Source organism: Homo sapiens, chromosome 11 (assembly GCF_000001405.40).
Source record: "Homo sapiens chromosome 11, GRCh38.p14 Primary Assembly".
Classification (NCBI taxonomy): domain Eukaryota; kingdom Metazoa; phylum Chordata; class Mammalia; order Primates; family Hominidae; genus Homo; species Homo sapiens.
Window position 1 is genome coordinate 125,641,211 of NC_000011.10, and position 26,489 is coordinate 125,667,699.

General features: G+C 36.2%; 1 protein-coding gene and 1 pseudogene across 14 annotated transcripts in view; both read left to right on the forward strand.

Annotated features, from left to right (window-relative positions):
• Positions 1 to 26,489, forward strand: part of CHEK1 (checkpoint kinase 1) — a 55,989-nt gene that overhangs the window by 16,075 nt on the left and 13,425 nt on the right. For 4 of the 14 annotated variants that reach the window (XR_007062447.1, NM_001114121.2, NM_001330427.2 and 1 more), the window contains 5 exons: positions 2,582 to 2,690; positions 2,881 to 3,058; positions 3,302 to 3,433; positions 12,536 to 12,637; positions 14,015 to 14,137. Coding sequence is in view for 11 of the 14 variants with exons in the window: in NM_001114121.2 (NP_001107593.1) it covers positions 2,582 to 2,690; positions 2,881 to 3,058; positions 3,302 to 3,433; positions 12,536 to 12,637; positions 14,015 to 14,110 (617 nt within the window). In the remaining 3 variants the exon portion in view is untranslated. Of the gene's footprint in view, positions 1 to 2,581; positions 2,691 to 2,880; positions 3,059 to 3,301; positions 3,434 to 12,535; positions 12,638 to 14,014; positions 15,945 to 26,489 lie in introns of those variants that run through there. The other 10 variants (NR_045204.1, NR_045205.1, NM_001114122.3 and 7 more) reach the window with 4 other exon arrangements.
• On the forward strand, positions 8,536 to 8,677 carry RNU2-35P (RNA, U2 small nuclear 35, pseudogene; annotated as a pseudogene).

Consider the following 26,489-nt stretch of genomic DNA (forward strand, 5'->3'; position numbering starts at 1 on the left):
ATATTTTATACAGTTGATCATGCCCTCCTCCTTTAAACACTTTCTTCATTTGGCTTCCAGGCGTTACACTCTTCTGATTTTCGTCCTTCTCACTGGTCGCTCTTTTCAGTCTCTTGATGGTTTTTTTTCATCTGCTCAGCCTCCTACTATTGGAGTTCTCCAGGGCTGAATCTATGGATCTCCTTTGTTTTCTTCTCCACACTCACTCCATTAGTGATATTACTTGGTTTCATGGCTCTAAATAAAACTATATGTTGATAGTCACATTTATATCAACCTAGACCTTTCCTCTGAATTCCAAACTTACATGTCTTAACTGCCTTCTGAAATTTCACTTGAATGTTAAGAGGCATCTCACACTTGATGAATTCCAAACTGAGTTACTGATCTTTTCCTTTCAAACCCATTCCTTTTCAAAGTCTTTCCCATGTTGGTTAATGGCAACTGCATTATTCTTATTATGCAGATCAGAAACTTTGGAATCATCCTTCATTTTTCTCATTCTCTTTTACTTCACATCCAGTACACCAGCTAATTCTGTTAACCTCTATCTTTAAAAAAATCTTAGAATCTGATTACCTTTTTTTTTTTTACCTCTACTGTTACCCTATCATTCCAAATTACCATGATATCTTTCCAAAATGTTCTGATTTAAAAGTGAATTAGAATATATCACTATTCTACCCAAATCCTCCAATGCTTTAGTTCTCACGTGTAGTGTAAGCTAAAATCAGTTCATGACCTGTGAGTTCTTACACAATTTTGTTCCTTACATTACCTCTCCAACCTCAGTTCTGCTTTGCTCCCCCTTGGTCATATTGTTGTTCTTCTTATTGTTCTCCAAGTGCTCTAGGCACACTTCTACCTCACTGTTTTTGTAGTGACTGTTCCTATGTCTGAAAATGCTTTTTCCCATGGGACTTATTTGCATGTCTTATTCTCTTACTTTCTTTGGATATTGACTTCAGTGTCATCTTTCCAATAAGCCTTTCCTGGCCATGCTATTTAAAATGGTATCCTCTTCCCTCTAACACATTTCTTAAATTTTTAAAATTTTTACTCTCTTGTGGACATACGCAATCCAACACGTTTCTTCATTTTATTTTCCTTCAGTGTACTTACCACCATTTAGCTTACTGATTTTTAACTGTATTTGTATTTATTTTATGTTATTTTGTCTCTCCTCAGTAGAATGTAGGATTTAAAAGGTCAAGAGTTTTTTTTCTATTTTGCTCACTGCTGAATACCTGATACCTAGAATAATGCCTGGCACAGAGTAGACCTAATAAAATATCTGAATGAATGGATTAATAAATAAAAAGCAGGTTTAAAAAAAAACTTGAGCATGTTTAAAAAGAAACAAACTTAAGCATGTTTAAGTGGTTTGGGTACGGATCCTGTAGAGAGGAAGAGGCTGACAGTCTAAGAGAAAGGAAATAAATAACAGAGGATCAAGATCCCTAAGGAGGTAGAAGGGTATGGGCTCCAGAGCACAAGTAGAGAGATGAACATTTGATGGGAGAATGGAAGGGATGAAAAGATGTATAATAATACAAATAACTTAGCTTTGGTAGGGATAAGTTGATGTAGTTTCTGTCTAATGGCTTTATTTTTTCTCTGAAATGGGAGGTGGTAGTATAGGTACTGGATGGTAGTCTTGGGAATTACAGAAAAGTGTAGTTTTGAAATGATCCTTGTGGAGAAAAGGAAAGGAAACTAGAGAAACAAATATTATCTGGCAATATTGAGGTTTAGCTAGGGATTGTAACCATAAATTTACAGTGGCGTCATTTTCCATATAATATTCTTCTTTATAAAGCTTTTCCAAGGAATCAAAGAATGTTGGCTATAGCAGATTCATAATGTTTATTGCTATTATCATAAATTATTTTTTATTTTAAAAAGTTCTAGTCCTTTAGCCAGGTCTGTTGTCTTCATAGAACATTGTTCTGTTACCCATAAAAGATGCCATTAAGACTGTGGCCTGGGCCGGGCGCAGTGGCTCACGCCTGTAATCCCAGCACTTTGGGAGGCCGAGGCGGGTGGATCACGAGGTCAGGAGATCAACACCATCCTGGCTAACATGGTGAAACCCCATCTCTCCTAAAAATACAAAAAAAAAAAAAAAAAAAATTAGCTGGGCGTGGTGGCGGGTGCCTGTAGTCCCAGCTACTCAGGGGGCTGAGGCAGGAGAATGGCGTGAACCCTGGAGACAGAGCTTGTAGTGAGCCAAGATCGCGCCACTGCACTCCAGCCTGGGTGACAGAGCGAGACTCCGTCTCAAAAAAAGAAAAAAAAAAAGATTGTGGTCTGAGCATACTCCACACTTTGAACATGTCTACAGATCATACTTAGGTATTGTAAAATACCTAATTTGACAAATGAGTTTTAGTAATTTTATAACTTGGCCATATTTTTTATAAAATCATATAGGAAGACTTTGTTTTATATCTTACAAAAATTTTGTGTTAAATAAATAGATTTAGACATAGTTTTACTTCTTCAAGTTGCCAGTTGGGTTAATTTAAAAACATACTTGCATAGAAGACTTGAAAGCATTTGTATTTGTTTTCTTTTTTAGGGGCAAAAAGGCCCCGAGTCACTTCAGGTGGTGTGTCAGAGTCTCCCAGTGGATTTTCTAAGCACATTCAATCCAATTTGGACTTCTCTCCAGTAAACAGTGCTTCTAGGTAAGACTGATAAAGATTGAGTAGTTTTTGATTGTAGTATTCCCCATGAAGAATAATACATGTATGTGTTTTTTCATAATAATCGACATTAACATAATACTGTAAGCATGAGAACTTGTGTGTGATATAAGAAAGGCCTGATAGATTTTATTTTATTAAATGTATGTTTCTTTCTGTCTTAATGCCTCAGTGAAGAAAATGTGAAGTACTCCAGTTCTCAGCCAGAACCCCGCACAGGTCTTTCCTTATGGGATACCAGCCCCTCATACATTGATAAATTGGTACAAGGGATCAGCTTTTCCCAGCCCACATGTCCTGATCATATGCTTTTGAATAGTCAGTTACTTGGCACCCCAGGATCCTCACAGGTGAGGGAATTTAATTTTTTAAAAGTAATGGCAGCTCTTTATTTTTTATTGTCTTAAAGTCCTTTTTTAATGTGTAAATCTTAGATATATAACTTTTAAATCACATGTATTCTTTTTTGGTCAAGGAAGAAAGAGAGGAGGGAGGCCTTCATGCAAAATAATTTTAAGTCAGACTAAATAGCTATGATATTACTGTCTTTAGTCCTAATGGATTTATTCATTTGTCTTCTGTTTGACATGTAGAACCCCTGGCAGCGGTTGGTCAAAAGAATGACACGATTCTTTACCAAATTGGATGCAGACAAATCTTATCAATGCCTGAAAGAGACTTGTGAGAAGTTGGGCTATCAATGGAAGAAAAGTTGTATGAATCAGGTGTGTTTCATTGATTTTCATTATACCTTTTCCTGAAGAAGAATTTAAATATTTGAGTAAAAGCTATCATTAGTATATTTTTTAAATATAGGCTGTGGCTCACACCTGTAATCCCAGCTTTTTGGGAGGCTGGGGTGGGCGGATCACCTGAGGTCAGGGGTTCGAGACCAGCCTGGCCAACATGGTAAGACCCTGTCTCTACTAAAAGCACAAAAATTAGCCGGCCTGGTGGTGCATGGCTGTAATCCCAGCTTCTCGGGAGGCTGAGGCACGAGAATTGCTTGAACCTGGAAGACGGAAGTTGCAGTGAGCCGAGATCCTGCCAGTGCACTCCTGCGTGGCCAACAGAGTGAGACTGTCTCAAAGAAAACCAAACAAACATAAAAATACAAAGTAATTAGTTAATTTGAAAAAGAAACTATTTAAGTAAAATGTTCTTTACTTTAAGAAATAATACTTTTTTTTATTTTGTTTTATTTTTTAATTTTTAATTTTTAGCCACTGTGCCTGGCCTAAGAAATAATATTTCTTAAAAGACCTTTTTATTGTTATTAAAAATAGTAGGGAGCTGGAATCATTATCTTTGTAAAAACTATGTATACTTAAACTGTAGACAATAACAGTTGACTGCCTACTATGAAAGACGAATACATTAGCAATCCCACACTTTCTCCCATCTCCCTTGATTGCACCCGTCAATTTTTATTGTTTATATTATTAGAGCATAGTTATAACATTGGTATTCTAAACTGTCTTTAAGGCTTTTCAAAAAAAATGTTAATGTCAATGAAAGACAAATAGGGTAGCTGTTTTTTACTCAAGGAGACTAAAGAGGCCTGATAACTAAGTGCAAGTGCAATGCATGATCTTTCACTAGATCATGTATTTGAAAAAAACTATAACGGACATTATTGGAACAATTGGGGAAATTTGAATATGGACTGTATATTAATTAGGTAATGTTTTTGTATCAGCGTCAGATTTCTTGGGTGTGATAATACTGTGGTTTGTAGGAGAATGCCCTTGTTCAAAGGAGAACAAGTGTCAAAGCAAAGTTGAAGTGAAGTGATATTTTCATTCAGCTTAAAATTTAAAAAAATAAAGGGCAAACAACTACATAAAGGCCAATAAACACACACATATCTGGTAGATAAGGCCAATGAAGAGTATATGGTTATTTATTATACTCTTTTTTCAGTTTTTCTGTAGATTCGAGTTTTCAAAATTAAAAATTGGGGGAACTGTTACTGTGTAGAAATCTGAGGTCAGCCTGATAGTCTTCTCACTCACATAGGTGATTCACTTTCTTTCAGGTAGACTCAGAGATAAAATTTGCATAACATAAGAATCATCACTTTAACCATTTTAAAATGTAAAATGCAGTGCTTTTTAGTATATTCACAAGGTTGTGCAACCATCGCCCCTAATTCCAGAACATTGCATCACCACGGGGAAAAAAAAACAAAACACCTCTGTACCACCTAGAATCACTCTTTATTCCTTTCTTGCTCCATTCCCAGACAACCTCGAATCTACTTTCTGTCTTTAGGGATTGCCTTTTTGGACATTTTATATAAATGGAATCATATAACATGTAGTCCTTTGGGTCTGTCTGCTTTCATTTAGCACGTTTTCAAGGTTCATAGCATCTATCAGTACTTTATTCCTTTTTATGGCTGAATAATATTCTGTTGTGTGTATGTATTACATTTCGTTTATCCATTCATCCACTCATGGACATTTGGGTTGTTTCTACTTTTTCATCATTATGAATAATACTGCTGTGAACAATCTTGTACCAGTTTTTGTGTGACCATATGTTTTCAATTTCTTAGATATATATGGAGGAATAGAATTGTTGGAGCATATGGTAACTCTTCATTTAACTTTTTGAGAAACTGTGAAATGATTTTTCCAAAGCACCTGTACCATTTTACGTTCCCATCAGTAATGTAAGAGGGTTCCAATTTCTCTACAACCTTGCCAACACTTACTGCCTCCCCTTTTTGCTATGGCCATCCTAGTGTGTATGAAGTCTTATCTCATTTTGCTTTTGATTTTCATCTCTCTAAAGACTAATGATCTTGAGCATATTCTTATATGCTTATTGGCCATTTCTTTATAACAGTATCCGGATATTTTGTCCATGCTTTAACTGGCTTGTTTTTATTGTTGAGTTGTTAGAGTTCTTTTACATTCTGGACACTAGAACCTTGTCAGGTACCTGATTTGCAAATATTTTATCCCATTCTGTGGGAGAAAATTCCCCCATTCTTTTGTTTTCTTGTTAGTGTCGTTTGATGTACTCAAGTTTTAGATTTTGATGAATTCCAGTGGATCTATAATTTCTCTTTTGTTGCCTATGCTTTTAGTGTCAAATTTAAGAAACTGTTGCCTGATGTAAGATTGTAAAGATTTATACTTTATGCTTTCTTTTAGGAGTCCCAGCCTCCTAAGTAGCGGGGACTACAGTCTTAAAGTTTAGCTCTTATATTTAGGTCTTTGTCCATTTTGAGTTAATATTTGTATATAGTATGATGTAGGGTGCAAATTCAAATGTTTGTATGTGAATATTCAGATTCCAGCACCATTTGTTGAAGATATGTTTTACTATTAGATGGTCTTGGCACCTTTGTTGAAAATAAATAGGTCATAGATGTATGGGTTTATTTCTGGAATCTCAATTCTTTTTTTTTCCTTTTTTTTTTCTTCCCCTGTGGACTCAATTCTTTTATTTCATGGATCTATATGTCTGTGCTATGCCGTTACCACACTATGTTGATTACTGTAGCTTTATAGTGAATTTTGACATTAGAAAATATGAGTTGTCCAAGTTTGTTCTTTTTTTCAAGGTATTTTGGTTATTTGTGGCCCCTTGTTTTTCTGTCTTTTAGGATTATCTTATTTCTGCAAGAAAAAAATTTGGAATTTTAAAAGAGATTACATTGGGGAGTATTTCCATTTTAGTATATATTGAGTATTCTTTATTCAAGGTGCTTGGGACCAAAAGTTTTGTGGATTTTACATTTGTTTGGATTTTGGAATATTTGCATATGCATATTGAGATAACTTACAGATGGGACTCAAGTTGAAACATGAATAATTTTATTTATGCTTCATATATACCTGATACAGATAGCCTGAAGGTAATTTTATACAATGTTTTAAATAATTTTGTGCATGAAACAAAGTTTGTACATTGAACTATCAGAAAGCAAACCTGTCAGGTATGAAATTTTCAGTTTGTCACATGATGTCAGCACCTGAAAAGTTTTGGAGTTTGGAACATTTTGGATTTCAGATTTGAGATTAAGGATGCTAAACCTCTAATAGTAACTCTTCTAATCCAATAACATGGGGCCTTTTTTTTCCCATTTTTTTAGGGTCTTTAATTTCTTTCAAGAATATTTTGTAGTTTTCAGTGTTCAAGTCTTGCACTTCCTAGGTTAAATGTAATCCTGTTTATTCTTTTTTTTTTTATCCTGATGCTGATGTAAATGGAATTTTTTAAAATTTTATTTTCAAATTGTTCATTGCTATATGCAAATGAATTTTGTATATTGATCTTGTATCCTGAAAATTTGCTGAATTCATTAACTCCAGTAGTTTTTTTGACAAATTCTTTAGGTTTTTTAATATATTAAGATTACATTATTTGGCAGGGCGTGGTGGCTCACGCCTGTAATCCCAGCACTTTGGGAGGCCGTTGCGGGTGGATCATGAGGTCAAGCGTTTGAGACCTGCCTGGCCCACATAGTGAAACCCCGTCTCTACTAAAAATACAAAAAATTAGCTGGGCGTGGTTGCGGGCACCGGTAATCCCAGCTACTCGGGAGGCTGAGGCCGGAGAATCACTTGAACCTGGGAGGCGGAGGTTGCAGTGAGCCGAGATGACGCCACTGCACTCCAGCCTGGGCGACAGATCAAGACTCCGTCTCAAAAAAAAAAAAATTACATTGTTTATCAATAGAGATACAGGAAATTGTTTTACTTTTTTTTTTTTTTTTAACCCAGATGCCTTTTAATTCTTTTTGTTTAGTTGTCCTGGCTAGGACTTCCAACATTATGTTGAACAGAAATAGAGTCTTTGTCTTGTTCTTGATCTTAGGGTTAAGTTTCGAGTCTTTCAGCATTAAGTATGATGTTAGCTGTGGGGTTTTTGTTTTTATGGTGAAAGAGTATTGGATTTTGTCAAATGTTTTCTCCGTCTATTGAGATAATCATGTGGATTTTTTTTCCCTTTATTAATATAGCTTGACCTCCTGTGCCCAAGTGATCCTCTCATCTCAGCCTCCTAAGTAGCTGGGACTACAGGTGTACACTATCATACCCAGCTAACTTTTTAAAAATGTTTTTGTAGAGATGCAGTCTCTGTGTTTACCAGGCTGGCCTTGACCTTCTGGGCTCAAGTGATCCTCCTGAGTAGTGGGTACTACAGGTGTGCACCACCATGCCCAGCTAAATTGACAGTTTTCATCAGTCTGTTTATTTTGTCTAATGTTAGTATATCCACATCAGCTCACCAGCTATCTTGTGTATTTTCCTTTTTTTAGATGGAGTCTCACTATGTTGCCTAGGCTAGACTGTAGTGGCTACTTAAAGGCACGATCATAGTGCAATGCAGCCTCAAATTCCTGGGCTCAAGTGACCCTCCTGCCTTGGCCTCCCAAGTAGGTGGGACTGCAGGCATGTACCACCATACCCAGCTACCAGCTCTCTTTTGGTTATTGTTTCCATGGTCTATTTTTTTTTTCCTTTTCCTTTTAACCTATTTGTGTCTTTGAATCTAAAGTGCCTTAGCCAGGTGTCATGGCTGACACCTGTAATTCCAGCACTTTAGGAGGCTGAGGTGGGTAGATCACTTGAGGCCAGGAGTTTGAGACCAGCCTGGCCAACATGGTGAAACCCCATCTCTACTAAAAATATTTTAAAAATTAGTTGGGCGTTGTGGTGTGCACCTGTAATGCCAGCTATTGGGGAGGCTTTAGGTGGGAGGATAGTCTGAGCCATTGGAGATCAAGGCTGCAGTGAGTCGTGATCTGATTGCATGACTGCTCTCCAGCCTGGGTGACAGAGCAAGACTGTCTCAAAAAAAAAAAAAAATCGCTTCTTAGCCTTTTGGCTAAGATCAAGTGTAGTATCTATTCCTATCAGTTTAAGTGCCTTAATTTCTCTTCCACTTTTTGGACAGGTAGTTTTGCTGGATATAGAATTCTTATTAGCTTTTGTCTTTCAGCACTTTGATTATGCCACTACTGCCTTCTAGCCTTTGTGGTTTCTGATGAGAAATCAGCTGTTAATCTTACTGAGGATCTCTTTTATGTGAGACGTTGCTGCTCTCTTGCTGCTTTTATGTTTCTCTGTTGACCACAGTTTGACTATGGTGTATCTTGGTGTGGATTTCTTTTTTCATTCTGTTCGGAGTTCGTTGAGCTTCTTGGATATGTAAATTAATGTTTTTAATCACACTTGGGAAGTTTTTGGCCACAATTTCTTCAGATTTTTTTTTTTATATCTAACTCTCCTCTCCCTCTTGGACTCATTATGTTTATTGTTGGTATACTTGATGTGCCACAGTTCTTAGACTCTGTTCATTTTTCTTTATTCTTCTTTCTTTATGTTTCTCAGGGACAGTTTTGGTTGCTGTTTTTCCTTTATAAGGGCCATACTTTGTTTCCTTACATGCTTTGTAATTTTTTGTTGAAAACTGGACATATTGTGGCAATATGTGGCAACTCTAGAAAGTCAGATTTTCCCCTCTTGCCAGTGTTTGTTACCGCTTGATGTAGTTGTTTGTTTTTTTTAGTGGTGTTTGTTTTTTTTTTTTTTTGAGACGGAGCTTTGCTCTTGTTGCCCAGGCTGGAGTGCAGTGGCGTGATCTTGGCTCACTGCAGCCTCCACCTCCTGGCTTCAAGTGAGTCTCCTGCCTCAGCCTTCCAAGTATCTGGGACTACAGGCACCTGCCACTGTGCCTGGCTTTTTGTATTTTTATTAGAGATGGGGTTTCATCATGTTGGCCAGGCTGGTCTCGAACTCCTGACCTCAGGTGGCTGGGATTACAGGTGTGAGGCACCATGCCCGGCCCTAGTGATTTTTCTTATATAATTTTTTAAAGTTGGTATTGTTTGTCATGCATGGCTGTACAATTTCTGTCCCATTAGTTTTAGTGGTCAGCTAATGATTGGACAGAGATTTCCTTAAATTCTGTATACCAAAAACAAAAAATCTGCAGAGTGTTCTGTATTTGTGTTGGGGCACACCTGCAATACTCAACCAAGAAGTTTACAACGTTGCTTCAGCCTTCGCTATCTGCTTGTGCAAAATGCAAAGTTAGGGCACATGTAGAGCTTAGGGGCCTTCTCAGCTCTTTCCTAAGCATATGTACTGCCCTGGTCATGGGTGTGTCTTTTTAGATTCCCAGGTATATGTTGGACCTTTTCAGAGTCCTATTCCCCAGAAACATCTCACTCCCTAACCTCTTCTTCCAAACTTCTTGGGTAGTCTGTTTGCACCAGTTGCTTTCATTGCTTCAGGCAACAGAGACTAAAGCATTTTCCTGTAAGTGTTTTCAGCAAACGCTACTCAGGAGTAGCTTTAGCACAAGGTGAGTTAGAGTTACAAAGGTGAAATAAAGACAAGCCTCTTTTTTTTTTTTTTTTTTTGAGATGGAGTCTCGCACTGTTGCCCAGTCTGGAGTGCAATGGTGTGATCTCAGCCCACTGCAACCTCTGCATCCCGGGTTCAAGCGATTCTCCTGCCTCAGCCTCCCAAGTAGCTGGGATTACAGGCGCCTGCCACCACACCCTACTAATTTTTGTATTTTTAGTACAGACAGGGTTTCACCATGTTGGTCAGGCTGGTCTTGAACTCCTGACCTCAGGTGATCCACCCACCTCGGCCTCCCCAAGTGTTGGGATTACAGGCATGAGCCACTGTGCCTGGCCAGGACAAGCCTTTTGATCAGGTCATTTTAGAGGGTCAGATCGGCTTAAGATAGTTTGTAAATGAGGTTTATTCTGCTCCCACCTGGACCTATGCCTTAAATATGAACTGTTATTTTCAAGGCTGCTACTGAGTGAGGAGCAGGGGATAAACAGGGTAAGTTAAAATGCCAGAAAGCTCACTGTTCTTACTGCGTTTCACTTGTTTTGAATAAGTTGCTGCAAGCTTTTAGCTAGTTTACAATGTTCTGAAAAAGTTGATTCTGACAGGCTTTGGCAGGTTTTTAAAATTGCTTTTGTGGAGTAATGGACTTCTGGAGTTCTTTTCTCTGCCATTTTCACTGACATCACTCCTTGATTCACTCTCTCTCAGTTCTTGAAGTATTTTCTTTGTCTTTGAAGTTTAAGAGCTTAATTCAGATGTGTTGAGTTGAATATCTTGTATTAATTTTCCCAGAACATAGTGGGTTATTTCAGTGCTGCACAGTCGTGGTATGGTTGTGTGTTTTCATAGTTTCTTGAAGTAAGAATTATTACAAAAACTTTTGTAATTTGGGCTGTGTTTTTTGGGCAAATCTGCTGATCTCGCTCGGGCTTAACTCATCCAGCTGTAGTCATTTGATGTCTTTACTGTGGCTGGTGGTCTAAAACATCCTTACTCCCATATTTGGAGTCTTGGCACTGTCTGTTAGCTGAGTCTTTTCTTTCTGCATCATTCAGCTAGGCTGAGCGTCTTTCCATGCCATAGGAACGTTCTAAAAGACTGAAAGTGGAAGTTGAAGGCCTCTCAAGACCTTTGCCATCTTCTAATTGCCGCTCTAGCTTTTCAGCCACAAGTCAGGCCTTTTTCTTTCTCACATTTTAATAATCTTGTTTTTCCTCCCATTATGTTTTCATCTTTGATTGTTTCTTCTTTCAGTGGTATTTTGGTAAAAGACAGTAAGTTTTGTTGCTATGAGTTCATATACACTCAATCCCTAGGAGCTGCACCCCTGTTGATAGATTGGGTTGGGGACACACATACCCACTGGGAGAAGAGAGACTCTGGAATGAGTGAGATTATCAGCATACTTAATATTACTCCTGTTATGGAGGTAGCCAGCAAATTTTTTTTAATTGATACAATAATTGTAATGTATTCATGGGGTATGTAGTGATGTTTTGATTCATATAATGTATAATGATCAGATCAGGATAATTAGCATATTCATAATTTCAAACATTGTGGGAATGGGAATGTTCAGTGATGGGAATGTTCAGTATCCTTCTAGCAATTTGAAACTCTATTATTGTTAAGTATAGTCATCCTACAGTGGTCTAGAACTTACTCCTATCTAGCTGTAATTTTGTATTCTTTCATGAATCTCTATCTTTCCCTTCCCTCTCCCCTTCCTGGACTCTAGTATCCTCTGTTCTGCCTTCTACTTCTATGAAATTAACAGTTTTTTTGTTTCCACATATGAGTGAGAACATGTGATGTTTAATTTTCTGTTCCTGGCTTATTTCACTTTACATAATGTCCTCCAGTTCCACCCATGTTGCTGCAAATGACAGGATTTCATTCCTTTATATGGCTGAGTAGTATTTCATTGTGTATATATATCATATTATCCTCATCTGTTTGCTTGGCTTTTTGTTTTGTTTTTTTGAGACAGGGTCTCGCTCTGTCGCCCATGCTAGAGTGCAGTGGCGCAATCATAGCTCACTGCAGCTTCAACCTCCTGGGCTCAAGTGACCCTTCTGCCTCAGCCCCCTGAGTAGCTGGGCCTGTAGGCATGCACCACCATGCCCGCTAATTTTTTGGGAATTTTAGTAGAGATGAGGTATCGATATGTTGCCCAGCCTGGTCTGAAGCGATCCTTCTGCTTTGGCCTCCCAAAGTGCTGGATTACAGGCGTGAGCCACAGTGCCTGGCCTACACTCATCTGTTGTTGGATACCTAGGTTGATTCCATATCTTGGCTATTGTGAATAATGCTGTAGGGTTGCAAATTTCTCTTCCATATAATTTCCTTTCCTTTGGATCAGTAGTGGGATTGCTGGAACATATAGGTAGTTTTATTTGTAGTTTTTTGAGAAACTTCTATTCTGTTCTTCATAGTGGGTTTACTAGTTTATTATCTACTCACCCATGTGGCTTAACCTTATTTTTGTTGCCTTAGGTTACTATATCAACAACTGATAGGAGAAACAATAAACTCATTTTCAAAGTGAATTTGTTAGAAATGGATGATAAAATATTGGTTGACTTCCGGCTTTCTAAGGTATTTTTATGTTTTATTGTATTCTTTCTATGGAAATATTTCTATATGAATTTTTTTAATGGCATTATGTTTGTATATATGTGGCATTTGTAAATAGGTTACTTGCTTTTTTCGTTTAATATTATGAGCATGTGTTTTCGTTATCTATTTTTCCCGAACATTGTTTTTTTCAAATGACATTTTCCTTATTATAAAAGTTTTTGCCAGGCGTGGTGGCTCATGCCTGTAATCCCAGCACTTTGGGAGTCCGAGACGGGTGGATCTCGAGGTCAGGAGTTTGAGACCAGCCTGGCCAACATAGTGAAACCCCATCTTTACTAAAAATACAAAAAATTAGCCAGGCGTGGTGGCGGGTGCCTGTAATCCCAGCTACTTGGGAGGCTGAAGCAGGAGAATCATTTGAACCTGGGAGGCGGAGGTTGCAGTGAGCCGAGATGACGCCACTGCACTCCAGTCTGGGTGACAATACAAGAGACTCTGTCTCAAAAAAAAGAAATTTCTGCTTTTGTGAAAAATGTAGATAAGCAAAAAATGAGAAAATAAAAATAATTCTAAATTTTCAGTGATCACATTAATATTTCGAAGCATTTTAATATTTTTCTTAATTTATGTCTTTTAATAAAAATTATGATTTGTTACAAATATTTCATTATAATTTAATGAACCTTTACCAGTTATAATAATTCTGTGATTGCTATTTTATGCATAGATTTTTTTGTTCATATTTCTGATGATTTCTTTAGAAATCATTGATTCTAAGATGATAGTATTACAGCCCTTGATATATAAAACCAAAATAACATTTTTCTCTATTTTCTGAGAGATTGTATGTGGCTCTAAAGAGGGTTGGAGGGGTAGCTGCTGTGTTAGAGCATTTGCCGCAGTACTCTTTGTATTAGAGATTTGCTGCAATACTGTTTTTCAGATGCTTGCTACAGAATTAAATTAAGATCGTAGTATAATGAAATTCTTCTCATAACTAAATCTATTGATTTTGGTCAGTAGTGTTATGACAACAAGACTTCAGTTTAGTTGTATAGTTTATTGTTAGTTTCCAAACCCTCACTGCCTATGGAATGTAATGACTTAGGTCCAGATATACCAACACCTGAAACAGATAGGATGCCATGTTTATCTGCTCTCTGAGCTCAGTGCAGTAGGAACAGTGATGGGCATGAAACCACATCAGAATTATTTGTGTAACAATTTTCTCTTCCAGGATATTTGGTCTTCATAAACAGACCGAAAAGAAAATGGTAGCTAGACATACCTAAAGATGTTTGTCTCTTGTTACCACTACAAAGAGATTGATTTTAGGACAGAATTTTGTTTTTGTTTTTGTTTTGACATAATTTTTTAATACTATTTCTAATATAGGGTGATGGATTGGAGTTCAAGAGACACTTCCTGAAGATTAAAGGGAAGCTGATTGATATTGTGAGCAGCCAGAAGATTTGGCTTCCTGCCACATGATCGGACCATCGGCTCTGGGGAATCCTGGTGAATATAGTGCTGCTATGTTGACATTATTCTTCCTAGAGAAGATTATCCTGTCCTGCAAACTGCAAATAGTAGTTCCTGAAGTGTTCACTTCCCTGTTTATCCAAACATCTTCCAATTTATTTTGTTTGTTCGGCATACAAATAATACCTATATCTTAATTGTAAGCAAAACTTTGGGGAAAGGATGAATAGAATTCATTTGATTATTTCTTCATGTGTGTTTAGTATCTGAATTTGAAACTCATCTGGTGGAAACCAAGTTTCAGGGGACATGAGTTTTCCAGCTTTTATACACACGTATCTCATTTTTATCAAAACATTTTGTTTAATTCAAAAAGTACATATTCCATGTTGATTTAATTCTAAGATGAACCAATAAAGACATAATTCTTGTGACTTTTGGACAGTAGATTTATCAGTCTGTGAAGCGAAGCCAGCTTCAAAACATATCCCCAAGATTTGTACTTATATTTTCAAAAGGGCCTGGCCAGTTATATAAACCTGTTTTTGAATTATAATGATTAATTAAAATTGCAAGTAGGTGTTTTTTCCAGTGTAGTTAGTAAAATACTTGTATTTTACAGTGTTGCATAAACTCTAGTGCTTAACTAACTTTACTCTAAAAATTACTGTTGAACATCTTAAATATTTTTCTATATTTTCTACTTTCATAGCCATATTTTAACCTTTTCAACTTACTGGTGACCAAGCTTTTAGGTGATAAAGAATAAAAGAGGGAAGGGAAGAGTAAGGAAGCTATAAGAAAAATAGATCTGATTCTTTGTTCCTTTACCTGTTAGACTTACAAAAAGTTTGTTTTTCTAATAAAATTTGTATCAACTTTGGGGCATATTAGGTTGAGGCCTTGGCTCCTGCCTGTAGTCCCAGCTACTTAGGAGGCTGAGAGAGGAGGATCGCGTGAACCTGGAAGTTTGAGGCTGTAGTGAGCTATGATTGCACCAGTGCACTCCAGCTTGGATGACAGAGTAAGACCCTACCTCTAATAAAAATTTTTAAAATTGTAAAACATTATAAAATTAATCAGTTATTTTAATCTGAAGCCAAGAACATGTAGAATGTTATGATTAGAGTTTATCACATATTAATGTATACTGGCAAATTGTGTTACTGGAGTATACCCATAGGAGGAATAAATTCAAACCTGTTTTATTTATTTGAACCTATTTACGGTATGCTTAAGAATTGAATCAGTATAAATTCTCAAATATGGGAGAAATTTTGTTCTTGAGAATTATCTGAGTCATTAATATTTTTCAAAAACAGCTCTCACTGACTTGAACCTCTTCTGTAAGCTCTAACCTTTTACCTGCTTTACATTTCCACTTGAATGTCTAGTAGGCATCTCTTGACCAAAAACAGCTTTTGATTCCTGTTCTCCAACCTGTTCCTCTCCTAGTTTTCTCCATCTCAGAAATGTTACTTCCTCTGCAAAGTCTTTCCCTGACTTATCTAAAATAATAACCTCCTCTGTTTGCTGTGGGAATTTGTATAGAATGGTGGGAAAATTTCAAGTTTCATATTTGGATTAGCTCTGACATTTATTTATCTGAACACTGGTAATTGCCTCAGTAAAGACACTGATAATAAGTACCTTTTAGAGTTATTTTAATCTTTAATGCTTTAATGTGTAGGAAGAGTATAGTGTCCTGTTTTGCACAGAAAGGCATTCTGTAAATAATAAGTTGCCTTAATTTTCCTGTAATGTTCATTATATTGTTGTGGGAAGGTATTTACTCCTATTATTAAAAATAAAAATGTGTAAAATTTACTACCTGAAGATAACAGTTCAAATTTTGATGGAAAAATCAACCTATGCTTGTGTGTGTGTGTGTGTGTGTGTGTGTGTGTAATGTGTACAGTGTGTGTGGTTGTTGAGATAAGCATAATTATATAAAAATATGTGTGTGTGTGTTTAATGTGTACAGTGTGTGTGGTTGTTGAGATAAGCATAATTATATAAAAATACATAAAATATGTACACTTCAATGTGCAGTTGTAAAGTTAACATTCACTTAACCACAACTCAATTGTAGAAAGATCATTTACAGACCCTTAAGAACTTCCTATATGCAGTCTCCCAATCACAACCCACTTCTTTCCCCCAGAAATAATCACAAAATAGACTTTGGTGATAATCTTTTCCTTCGTGTGTTTTAGAGTGTTCTCAGCTATTTATGCAAATAATATCATTTAGTTTATGTATTTTTAATTAATATGGTTTTTATTAACGAACTTTATATACATTTTGCTGTATTTTTCATGTGTTGATTTTTTATAGCCATGCTTTTGTGCATATTGAATTCATTAATTTTAATTTTTATATAGGATGTATTTATGAACATCCCACTAACTATTCTGCTGCTAATTGATATTTGGATTGTGTACAGTTCGATGCTATTATAAAATTCTTCTAAGGACATTCTTGTACATGTTCATTTGTTTTGCTAGGTCCTAGAGTCTAAGGTATATATCCAGAAGAGGAATAGCTGGATATTAGGATAGAATAATGACAAACTGTTTTCTAAAGTGATTGTACAGATTAGTGTTTCCATAGGAGAAAAGTGTACAGTTACTGGAAAAACAGTTTGGAATGATCTAAAGCATAAGAATGTTCATAGCAACAGAATGTATTTCTAGTATTCCAAATTTTCACCTACAGTTGGTGTGGTCAGTATAAGTTGTTGTTTTTGTTTTTGTTAATGTTTTTTTTTCCTTTGAGACAGGGCCTCACTTTGCTGCCCAGGCTGGAGAGCAGTGGTACAAACATGACTCACTGCAGCCTTAGCCTTGCAGGCTCAAGCAATCCTCCTGCCTCAGCCTCCCAAGTAACTGGGACCACAGGCACATGCCACCACACCTGGCTAACTTTTGTATTTTTTGTAGAGACAGGGTCTCACCATGTTGCCCAGTCTGGTCTAGTCTGTTTTAACAAGTTGTTGCTGTGTAATGATATATGTGTGGTGTTAATTTGCTTGTTCCTAAGTTTAAATGAGGTAGAGCATTTTATGACATGCCTGTTCTAGTCTTTTGCTTATTTTTCTAATTGCCTTTTCTTTTTCTTAATAATTTCAGTTCTTCATATGTTCAGCATACTAGTCCTTTGTCAATTTACATGTATTGAATATATATACTCTCCCATTCTGCGGCTTATTGTTCCATTCTTCATGAACATTTGTAATTTTAATGTCCTATTTAGACCTTTCCTCTGTCTATTGTTTTATATTTTGTATTAAAGGAGTCATTCATTACTCCAAGATCATGAAGATTTTCTTGTATGTAATCATGTAATCTTCTTAAAAGCTTCATGGCTTTTGCTTTTTTTTTTTTTTTTTTTTTTTTTTAAGAGTCTTGTTGTGTCTCCAAAGCTGGAGTGCAGTGGCACAATCACAGCTCACTGCAGCCTCAGCCTCCCTGGCCCAAGTGATCCTTCCACCTCAGCCTTCTGAGCTGGGACTATAGCCATGCACCACCATGCCCAGCAAATTTTTTATTTTTTGAAGAGACCAGATTTCACTGTGTTGCCGAGGCTGGTTTCGAATGCCTGGGCTCAAGTGATCATCCTGCCTTGGCCTCCCAGAGTGCTGGGATTACAGGTGTGAGCCACCATGTCTGCCTGGCCTGTTTTTTGGCTGATTTAGGTCTATAATTCATCTGAAATTGGCTTTTGTGTAGAATGTGAGGTAGAGATTAGGTTTCATTTTTTTCCTTCATATGGCTATCCAGTTTAGCACTGGTTATTGAAAAGATCATTATTTTTTTTCACTAGTCTTCATTGATATCCAATCAAGTACTCAAATGTTTTAATTATTTTTTATACTTTGTATTGAATCAGATCCAAATAAAGTTTAAACATAATAATCGATTGATGTCTTTTAAGTTGCTTTTAGTCTGTAAGTTCCCTCTTTATTCCCTTTTTTTTCTCTTGCAGTTTATTGGTTGAAGAATCCAGCTGGTTTACTCTATGATTTTCTTAAGTCTAGATTTGTGGGTTTGATTGCTATGATAGTTTCAGATCTTTCTTCTATTTTCTGCATATCCTATAAATACATTCGAGATACTAGTCCTGTGTCAATTATATGTTGCATATAGGCATTTTATAAATTTCCTAAGTACCATTTTTCTTCATGCCACAAATTTTTATGTGTACTATTTTTGTTATCCAGCTCAAATTTTTTTCTAATATTGTTATGACTTTTTTCTATATTTTTACATTGTAGTTCTCAGATCTTTATATGATTTATTTTTTGATCCATAAATTATTTTGAATTATGTTTCTGAATTTCCAGGCCTTTGGGAATTGTTTTTATTTAAAAAATGTTTTTATTGAGATATTCACATAGCTTAAAATTCACTTTTTAAAGTGTTGTACTCCCTTTAAAGTGCACTTCTGTGGTTTTTAGTATGTTCATAAAGTTATGCAACCATCACCACTCTCAAATTCTAAAACAATTTCATCCTTTCAGAAAGAACCTCCCTGCTCATTAGCAGTCACTCCCCACTTTTTCTTCCTCCAGTCTCTGGAAAATACTAACCTACATTTTGTCTCTGTGGATTTGCTTATTCCAGACATTTCATATAAATAGAATTGGATAATACATGTGTGGCTTCTTTCACTTAATGGTTTCAAGATTCTCCATGTTGTAGCATGTATCAGGACTCCTTATGGCTGAATAATTTTCGTGTGCGTGTGTGTGTGTATTGTACATTCTGTTCATTATGTGGACATTTTAGTTCTTTTTACTTCTTGGTTATTATGAATAAGGCTGCTGTGCACATTCTTTTACAGCTTGGTGTGTGTCCACACATTTTCAGTTTTCTTGGGTATGTACCTAGAAGTAGAATTTTTTGATAGTGATAGTTTTTACAATTGTTGGGTACAGGCTTCTGTATATCTCCATGTAATTAACTGAGTTAATCATATTCAGATCTTACATATCTTTACTGCTTATACAGTGAATTACTAGAGAAGCATGTTAAAATTTACTATGATTTGGATTTGTGTATTTTTACTTGTGGTTCTCATTTTTTTCTTTTTTTAAGAGACAGGGTCTCATTATATTGCCTAGGCTACACTCAAGCTCCTAGGCTCAAGCGATCTTCCTGCCTCAGTCTCCCAACTAGCTGGGACTACAGGTATATGCCACCATGCCTGGCTAGGTTCTGTTAATTTTGCTTTATACATTTTGGGACTATTTCCTTAGGTTATATACTGATACATACTTGTCATATCTTCTTAGTGAATTAAACCATTTATTTATTTAGAAGTAACTTCTTTATAGATATAATACTTTTGCCTTAAATATTCTTTATCTGATATTAATCTAGCCCCACTTGCTTTCTTTTGGCTAATATTTATATGATTTTCATAAAGGATTTATTAACAAAAAAAAAAAAGAAAAAGTTTGCATGGCATAACTTTTTTGAGACGGAGTTTCACTCTTGTTGCCCAGGCTGGAGTGAAATGGCGCGATCTTGGCTCACTGCAACCTCCGCCTCCTGGGTTCAAGCGATTCTCCTGCCTCAGCCTCCCGAGTAGCTGGGATTACAGGCATGCGCCACTACGCCTGGCTAATTTTTGTATTTTTAGTAGAGATGGGGTTTCTCCATGTTGGTCAGGCTGGTCTCAAACTCCTGACCTCAGGTGATCAGCCCACCTTGTCCTCCCCAAGTGCTGGGATTACAAGCGTGAGCCACTGCGCCTGGCCTGGCATAACTTTTTATCTTTTTACTTTTACTTTTCTAAATCATATAAAATGTCCCTCTTTTAATTATCTTAAAAATCCAATCTGACAGTATTTGTTTTTCAATGGACCATTGATTCCATTTGCTTTCACTGTAATTACTGATATATTTGGATTTATTTCTATCATCTTACTTTGGTTCCACTGGATTTGCATTCTTTTCTACCATTTTTTTTTTGCCTTAAAAAATTTTTTTTCTTGCTTAGTATTTTATTTTTGAGACAGGGTCTCACTCTGTCACCCAGGCTAGAGTGCAGTGGTACCATCTCAGCTCACTGCCACCTCTGCCTCCTGGGTGCAAGTGATTCTTGTGCCTCAGCCTCCCCAGTAGCTGGGATTATAGGCGTGTGCCATCATGTCTGGCTAATTTTTGTATTTTTAGTAGAGACAGGGTTTCATCGTGTTGTCCAGGCTGGTCTCAAACTCTTGGCCTCAAGTTATCTGCCCGCCTTGGCCTCCTAAAGTACTGACATTACAGGCGTGAGCCACCGCGCCCAACCTTGCTTAGTATTTTTTAAAAATCACTGTATTTATCCTCCTCTCCTAATTTGGAATCTATATGCTTTTTTTTTTTGAGGGTTACTCTAGCTATTACAATATGCATACTTGTTATAGTCTGAAGTCAGTCTCTTGTCCTCTTTCTGACAATCAAAGATCTTTACACTTTTATAATTTATATACAATTGTCTATTTTGATAATATATATGTGTTTCTATGTGAATATATGTACATACATATCTTTGAAGAGATAGTAGATTTGCATGTAGTTGTAAGAGTTAATACTGAGACATCCTGTGCACCTTTCACTCAGTTTTCCCCACTGGTATCCAATAAAATAATATAACGAGGATATTGGCATTGATAAGGTCAAGATAGGACATTTCCATCAGCACCAGAATTCCTCATGATACCCTTTTATAGCAACATTCACTTTCCTCCCACTTCTGGCAACTATTAATCTTTTCTCTGTTCCTGTAATTTTGTCATTATAAGAATGGTATCTTAGCCTGTTTAGGCTTCTAGAACAAAAACACTGTAAACTGTGTGGCTTATAAACAACAAACATCTATTTCTAACAATTCTGGAGTCTGGGAAGTCCGAGTTCAAGGTGCCAGCAGATTCAGTGTCTGGTGAGGGCCTCTTCCCCATAGATGTCACCTTTTTACTGTGTCCCCACATAGTGGAAGGGGCAAAGCAGCTCTTTAGGGCCTCTTTTTTAAGGGCACTAATTCCATTCAGGAAGGTCCTGCCCCATAACCTAATCACTTCCCAAAGTCCCCATTTCCCAATACTATCACATTGGGAATTGGGTTTCAGTATATTAATTTGTCTGGAGGGGAATACGAGCATTCAGACTACAGCGGTTACATAAATAAAATCACATAGTATTGTACCTTTTGGAACTGGCTTTTTTCACTCAACATAATTCTCTGGAGATTCATCCAGGTTGTTAGCCTGTATCAAGTTCATTCCTTTTTATTGCTATGTGGTATCCACGGTATTGTTTAACCATTCACCTGTTGAAGGACATCTTTGTTATATCTACTCTTTTGCTATTGTGACTAAAGCTGCTATAAATATCTACAGGCTTTTGTGTGAATATAGTCTTTATTTCTCTGGGATAAATGTACTGGAGTGGCACTACTCAATTATATGGTAGTCATATGTTTAGTTTTCGAGAAAACTGCCACTCATTTCCAGAATGGCTGTACCATTTTATATTCTCACCACCAATATATGAGTAATGCAGTTTCTTCACATCCTCATCAATGTTGTCACTATTTTTTGTTTTAGCCATTCTGATAGGTATGTAGTAATATCTCATTGTGAGTTGAATTTGCATTTCCCTAGTGGGTAATGATGTTGAACATCTTTTCATGTACTCATTTGTCATCTATGTATCTTTGGTGAAATATCTCTTCATGTCTTTTGTTCGTGTTCCAATTAGATTTGTTTACATTGAGTTTTTAAAGCTACTTATGTAGTCGAGATACTAGTCCTTTGTCAAATATGTCATTTGTGAAAAAAAAAAAACAAATATGTCTCCCATTCTGTTGCTTATCTTTTCATCCTGTTAACAGAGTGCTTTATAGGGCAGAAGTTTTTAATTTCAATGAAATCCAGTTTACCAATTTTTTCTTATATGGATCATGTTTCTGTTGTCTATCCTAGAATAAGCCTAGATTCTGAAGATTTTTTCCAGTGTTTTTTCTTAAATTTTGACAGTTTAAGACTGAAGCATTTCAAATTAATTTTCGTATAGGTGTGAACCTTAGGTTGAATTTCATTTTTTTGCCTCTGAATCTTAAGTTGTTCCACCATTTGTTGAAAAGGCTATCCTTCCTCCACTGAATTGCTTTTTAAAATTTAATATTAGAGAGCAGTTTTTATTTTTATTTGTTTATTTTTATGTATTTTTCCTTTTAAGTTCCTTGTAGATTCTGGATATTAGACCTTCGTTGAATTATGTGGTTTGCAAATATTTTCTTCCTTTCCATAGATTGTCTCTTTACTCTGTTGATAGTTTCTTTTGCCATGCAGAAGCTCTTTAGTTTAATTAGATATCATTTGTTAATTTTTGTTTTTGTTGCAGTTGCTTTTGATGTCTTCATCATAAAATCTTTTCCAGGGCCTATGTCAAAATGGTGTTTCCTGGGTTATCTTCCAGGGTTTTTATAGTTTTAGTTTTACATTTAAGTCTTTAATCCATCTTGACTTTATTTTTGTTTGTGGTACAGGAAAGGAGTCCAGTTTCAGTCTTCTGCATATGGGTAGTCAGTTATCACAGCATCATTTATTGAGTCCTTTTTCCATTGCTTGTTTGAATCCACTTTCCATTTGAGTGCTTTTCCCCTTGCTTGTTTTTGTCAACTTGGTCGAAGATCAGATGGTTGTAGGTGTGCAGCATTACTTCTGTGCTCTCTATTCTGTTCCACAAGTCTATGTGTCTGCTTTTGTACTTAGTGCTATGCTGTTTTGGTTACTGTAGCCTTGCAGTATAGTTTGAAGTGAGGTAGTATGATGCCTCCAGGATAATAGCCATTTTAACAGGAGAGATATCTCAATGTGGTATCTCAATGTGGTAATATGCATTTCCCTGCTGATTAGCCATGTTGAACTATTTTTTTTTTTTTTTTTTGGAGACAGAGTCTCACTCTGTCGCCCAGGCTAGAGTACAATGGTGCGATCTCAGCTCACTGCAACCTCCACCTCCTGGGTTCAAGCAATTCTCCTACCTCAGCCTCCCAAGTAGCTGGGATTACAGGCACCCGCCACTACGCCTGGCTAATTTTTTGTATTTTTAGTAGAGACAGGGTTTTACCACGTTGACCAGGCTGGTCTCGAACTCCTGACCTCAAGTGATCCACCCATCTCAGCCTCCCCAAGTACTGGGATTACAGGTGTGAGCCACCATGCCTGGCCGAACATTTTTTCATATACCTATTGGCCATTTGTATGTCTTTTGAGAAATGTCTGTTCAGTTCTTTTGCCCATTTTAAAATCAGATTTCTTTTGTTTTATTTGCTATTGAGCTGTCTGAGTTTCATATGAATTCTGGTTATTAATCCCTTGTCAGATGGATACTTTGCAAATATTTTCTCCCATTCTGTAGGTTGTCTCTTCATTCCGATTTTTTTTTGCTGTGCAGAAATGTTTTAACTTGATGTAATACTATGTCTGTTTTTGCTTTTGTTTCCTGTACTTGTGATGTCTTCCACAGAAAAACCTTTGCCCAGACCCGTGTGTCCTCTTAGTGTTTTCCAAATGTTTTCTTCTAGTAGTTTTATAGTTGCAGGTCCTACATTTAGAACTTTAATTCATTTTCAGTTGATTTTTGTGTGTGTGTATGGTGAAAGATACGGCTCTAGTTTCATTCTTTTGCCTATGGATATCCAGTTTTTCTAGAATCATTTATTGAAGAGACTGTCCCCAGTGTAGGTTCTTGGCATCTTTGTTGAAAATGAGTTGGCTATAAAAATGTAGATTTATTTCTGGGTTCTCTATTCTGTTTCATTGGTCTACGTGTGTATCTGTATTCCAGTATCGGTCTGTTTTGGTTACTATAGCTTTGTAGTATAATTTGAAGTCAGGTGGTATGATGTCTCCAGCTTTGTTTTTTTTTTTTTTTTGGTTTCTGTCCTTGATTCTATTGATGTTGATATGTCATGTTTATTGATTTGCATATGTTGAACTACCCTTACATCCCTAGGATGAATTCTACCTGATCATGGGGAAGATCTTTTTAATGTGTTTTTTGGATTCTGTTTTGTAGTATTTTGTTGACGGTTTTTGCATCTATATTTATCAGGGATATTGGTCTGGAATTTTCTTTTTATGTTACATCTTTGCCTGATTTTGGTATTATGGTAATGCTGGCCTGGTAAAATCAGTTTGATAGGATTCCCTCCTCTTCACTTTTTTGAGTAGTTTGGGTAGAATTGATATTAGTTGTTCTTTAAACGTTTGATAGAATTCAACAGTGAATCATCAGGTCCTGAGCTTTTCTTTGATGGAAGACTTTTTATTACTGCTTTGATCTTGCTACTCATTATTGATATGTTCAGGTTTTCTATTTCTTTATGGTTCAATCTTGATAGGTTGTTTGTATCCAGGAATTTATCCATGTCTTCTAGCTTTTCCAATTTTTTGGCATATAGTGTTCATGATAGTCTCTAATGATCTTTTGTGTTTCTGTGGTACCAGTTGTCATTTTTCCTTTTTCATCTCTGATTTTATTTATTTGGGTCTTCATTCCCCTTTTTTTTTTTTTTTTTTTTTTTTTGTAGTCTAGGTAAAGATTTCTTGAATCTTGTTGATCTTTTCCAAAAAACAACTTTTTGTTTCATTTATCTTATGCACTTTTGTCTAAATTTATTTATTTCTACATTGATCTTTATTTCTTTGCTTCTATTAACTTTGGATTTGATTTTTTTAAAAAAATTTGGTTCTTTGTTTTAGTTCCTTGAGGTGCATTTTTAGGTTGTTTATTTTTTTTCTGTTTTTTTATGTAAGCATTTATTGCTACAGATTTCCTTTTTAGCACTATTTTTGCTGGATCCCATAGATTTTGATGTATGTCATGTTTCCATTTTCATTTGTTTTAAGAAATTTTTAATTTTACTTCTAATTTTTTTTTTCTTTTTACTTATTGGTCTTTCAGAAGCACATTGTTTAATTTTCATGTATTTGTACAACTTCCAAAGTTCCTCTTATTATTGATTTCTAGTTTTATTCCAGTGTGGTTGGGCAATATACTTGATATGATTTTGACTTTTTTGAATTTCTTGAGACTTGTTTTGTGGCCTCTCATATGGTCTGACTTGAAAAGTGTTCCATATGTGATGACAAGAACATGTATTCTGCAGTAGTTGGATGAAATGTTCTATAAATGTCTGTTAGATCTGTTTGGTCTAAAGTATAGTTTACCTCTGATGTTTCTTTGATGATCTGGATGATCCGTTCACTGCCAAAGTGGGTTGTTGAAGACCCCTAATATTACTGTATTGCAGTCGGTCTCTTCCTTTAGATCTAGTAATATTTGCTTTATATATTTAGGTGCTATGGTGCTGGGTACATGTATATTTACTATTTTTATTTCTCTCGCTATATTGACTTCTTTAACAATCTATAAGGATGTTCTTTATTTCCTTTTACAGTTTTTGCTTAAAGTCTATTTGATATAAATACAGGTAATCCTGGTCTTTTTTGCTTTCTGTTTACTTGGCATATATTTTTCCAACCCTTCACTTTCAGTTTATATGTATCTTCGTAAAGTGAGTTTCTTGTGGGCAGGATATAGTTGAATCTTGATTTTTTTTTTCAATCCATTCAGACAACTTTTGTTGTTGTTGTTGTTGTTTTGTGTTTTTCGGTGTTTTTTTTTTTAAAGAAAAATTTACCTTTGTTATAGATTAAAGGGTACACATGCCGGTTTATTACATGGGATAATTTCACGATGCTGAGGCTTGGGGTCCCAGTGATCCTGTTACCAAGGCAGTAAGCATAGTACCCAACAGATGGTTCTTCAGTCCATTCCCCCATCTCTCTCTCTCCCTGCTATTGATCCCCACTGTCTATTGTTCTCATCTTTACATTCATGTATACTCCATGTTTAGCTTCCACTTATAAATGAGAACATGTTGTATTTGGTTTTCTCTTCTCGCATTAGGTCACTTAGTATAAAGGCCTCCTGCTCTATCCATGTTGCTGCAAAGGTCATTATTTCATTCTTTTTCATGGCTGCATATTATTCCTTGTAAATGATTCCTCTCTATTGTAAATGAGATTGTGCTCTTGAATTGGTTCTCAGCTGGAACACTATTGGTTTATAAAAATGCTAGTGATTGTCGTACATTGATTTTGTCAATTCCAGGAGCCTTGTGTCAGATTCTTTAGGGTTTTTCATGTATGGACTCATATCATCAGTAAAGAGAGAGAGTTTGACTTTTCCTATTTGAATCTCTTTCATTTCTTTTTCTTGCCTCATTGCTCTGGCTAGGACTTCCAGTACTAAGTTTTTTGTTTTTGAGACAGAGTCTTGCTCTGTCACCCAGGCTGGAGGGCAGTGGCACGATCTCAGTTCACTGC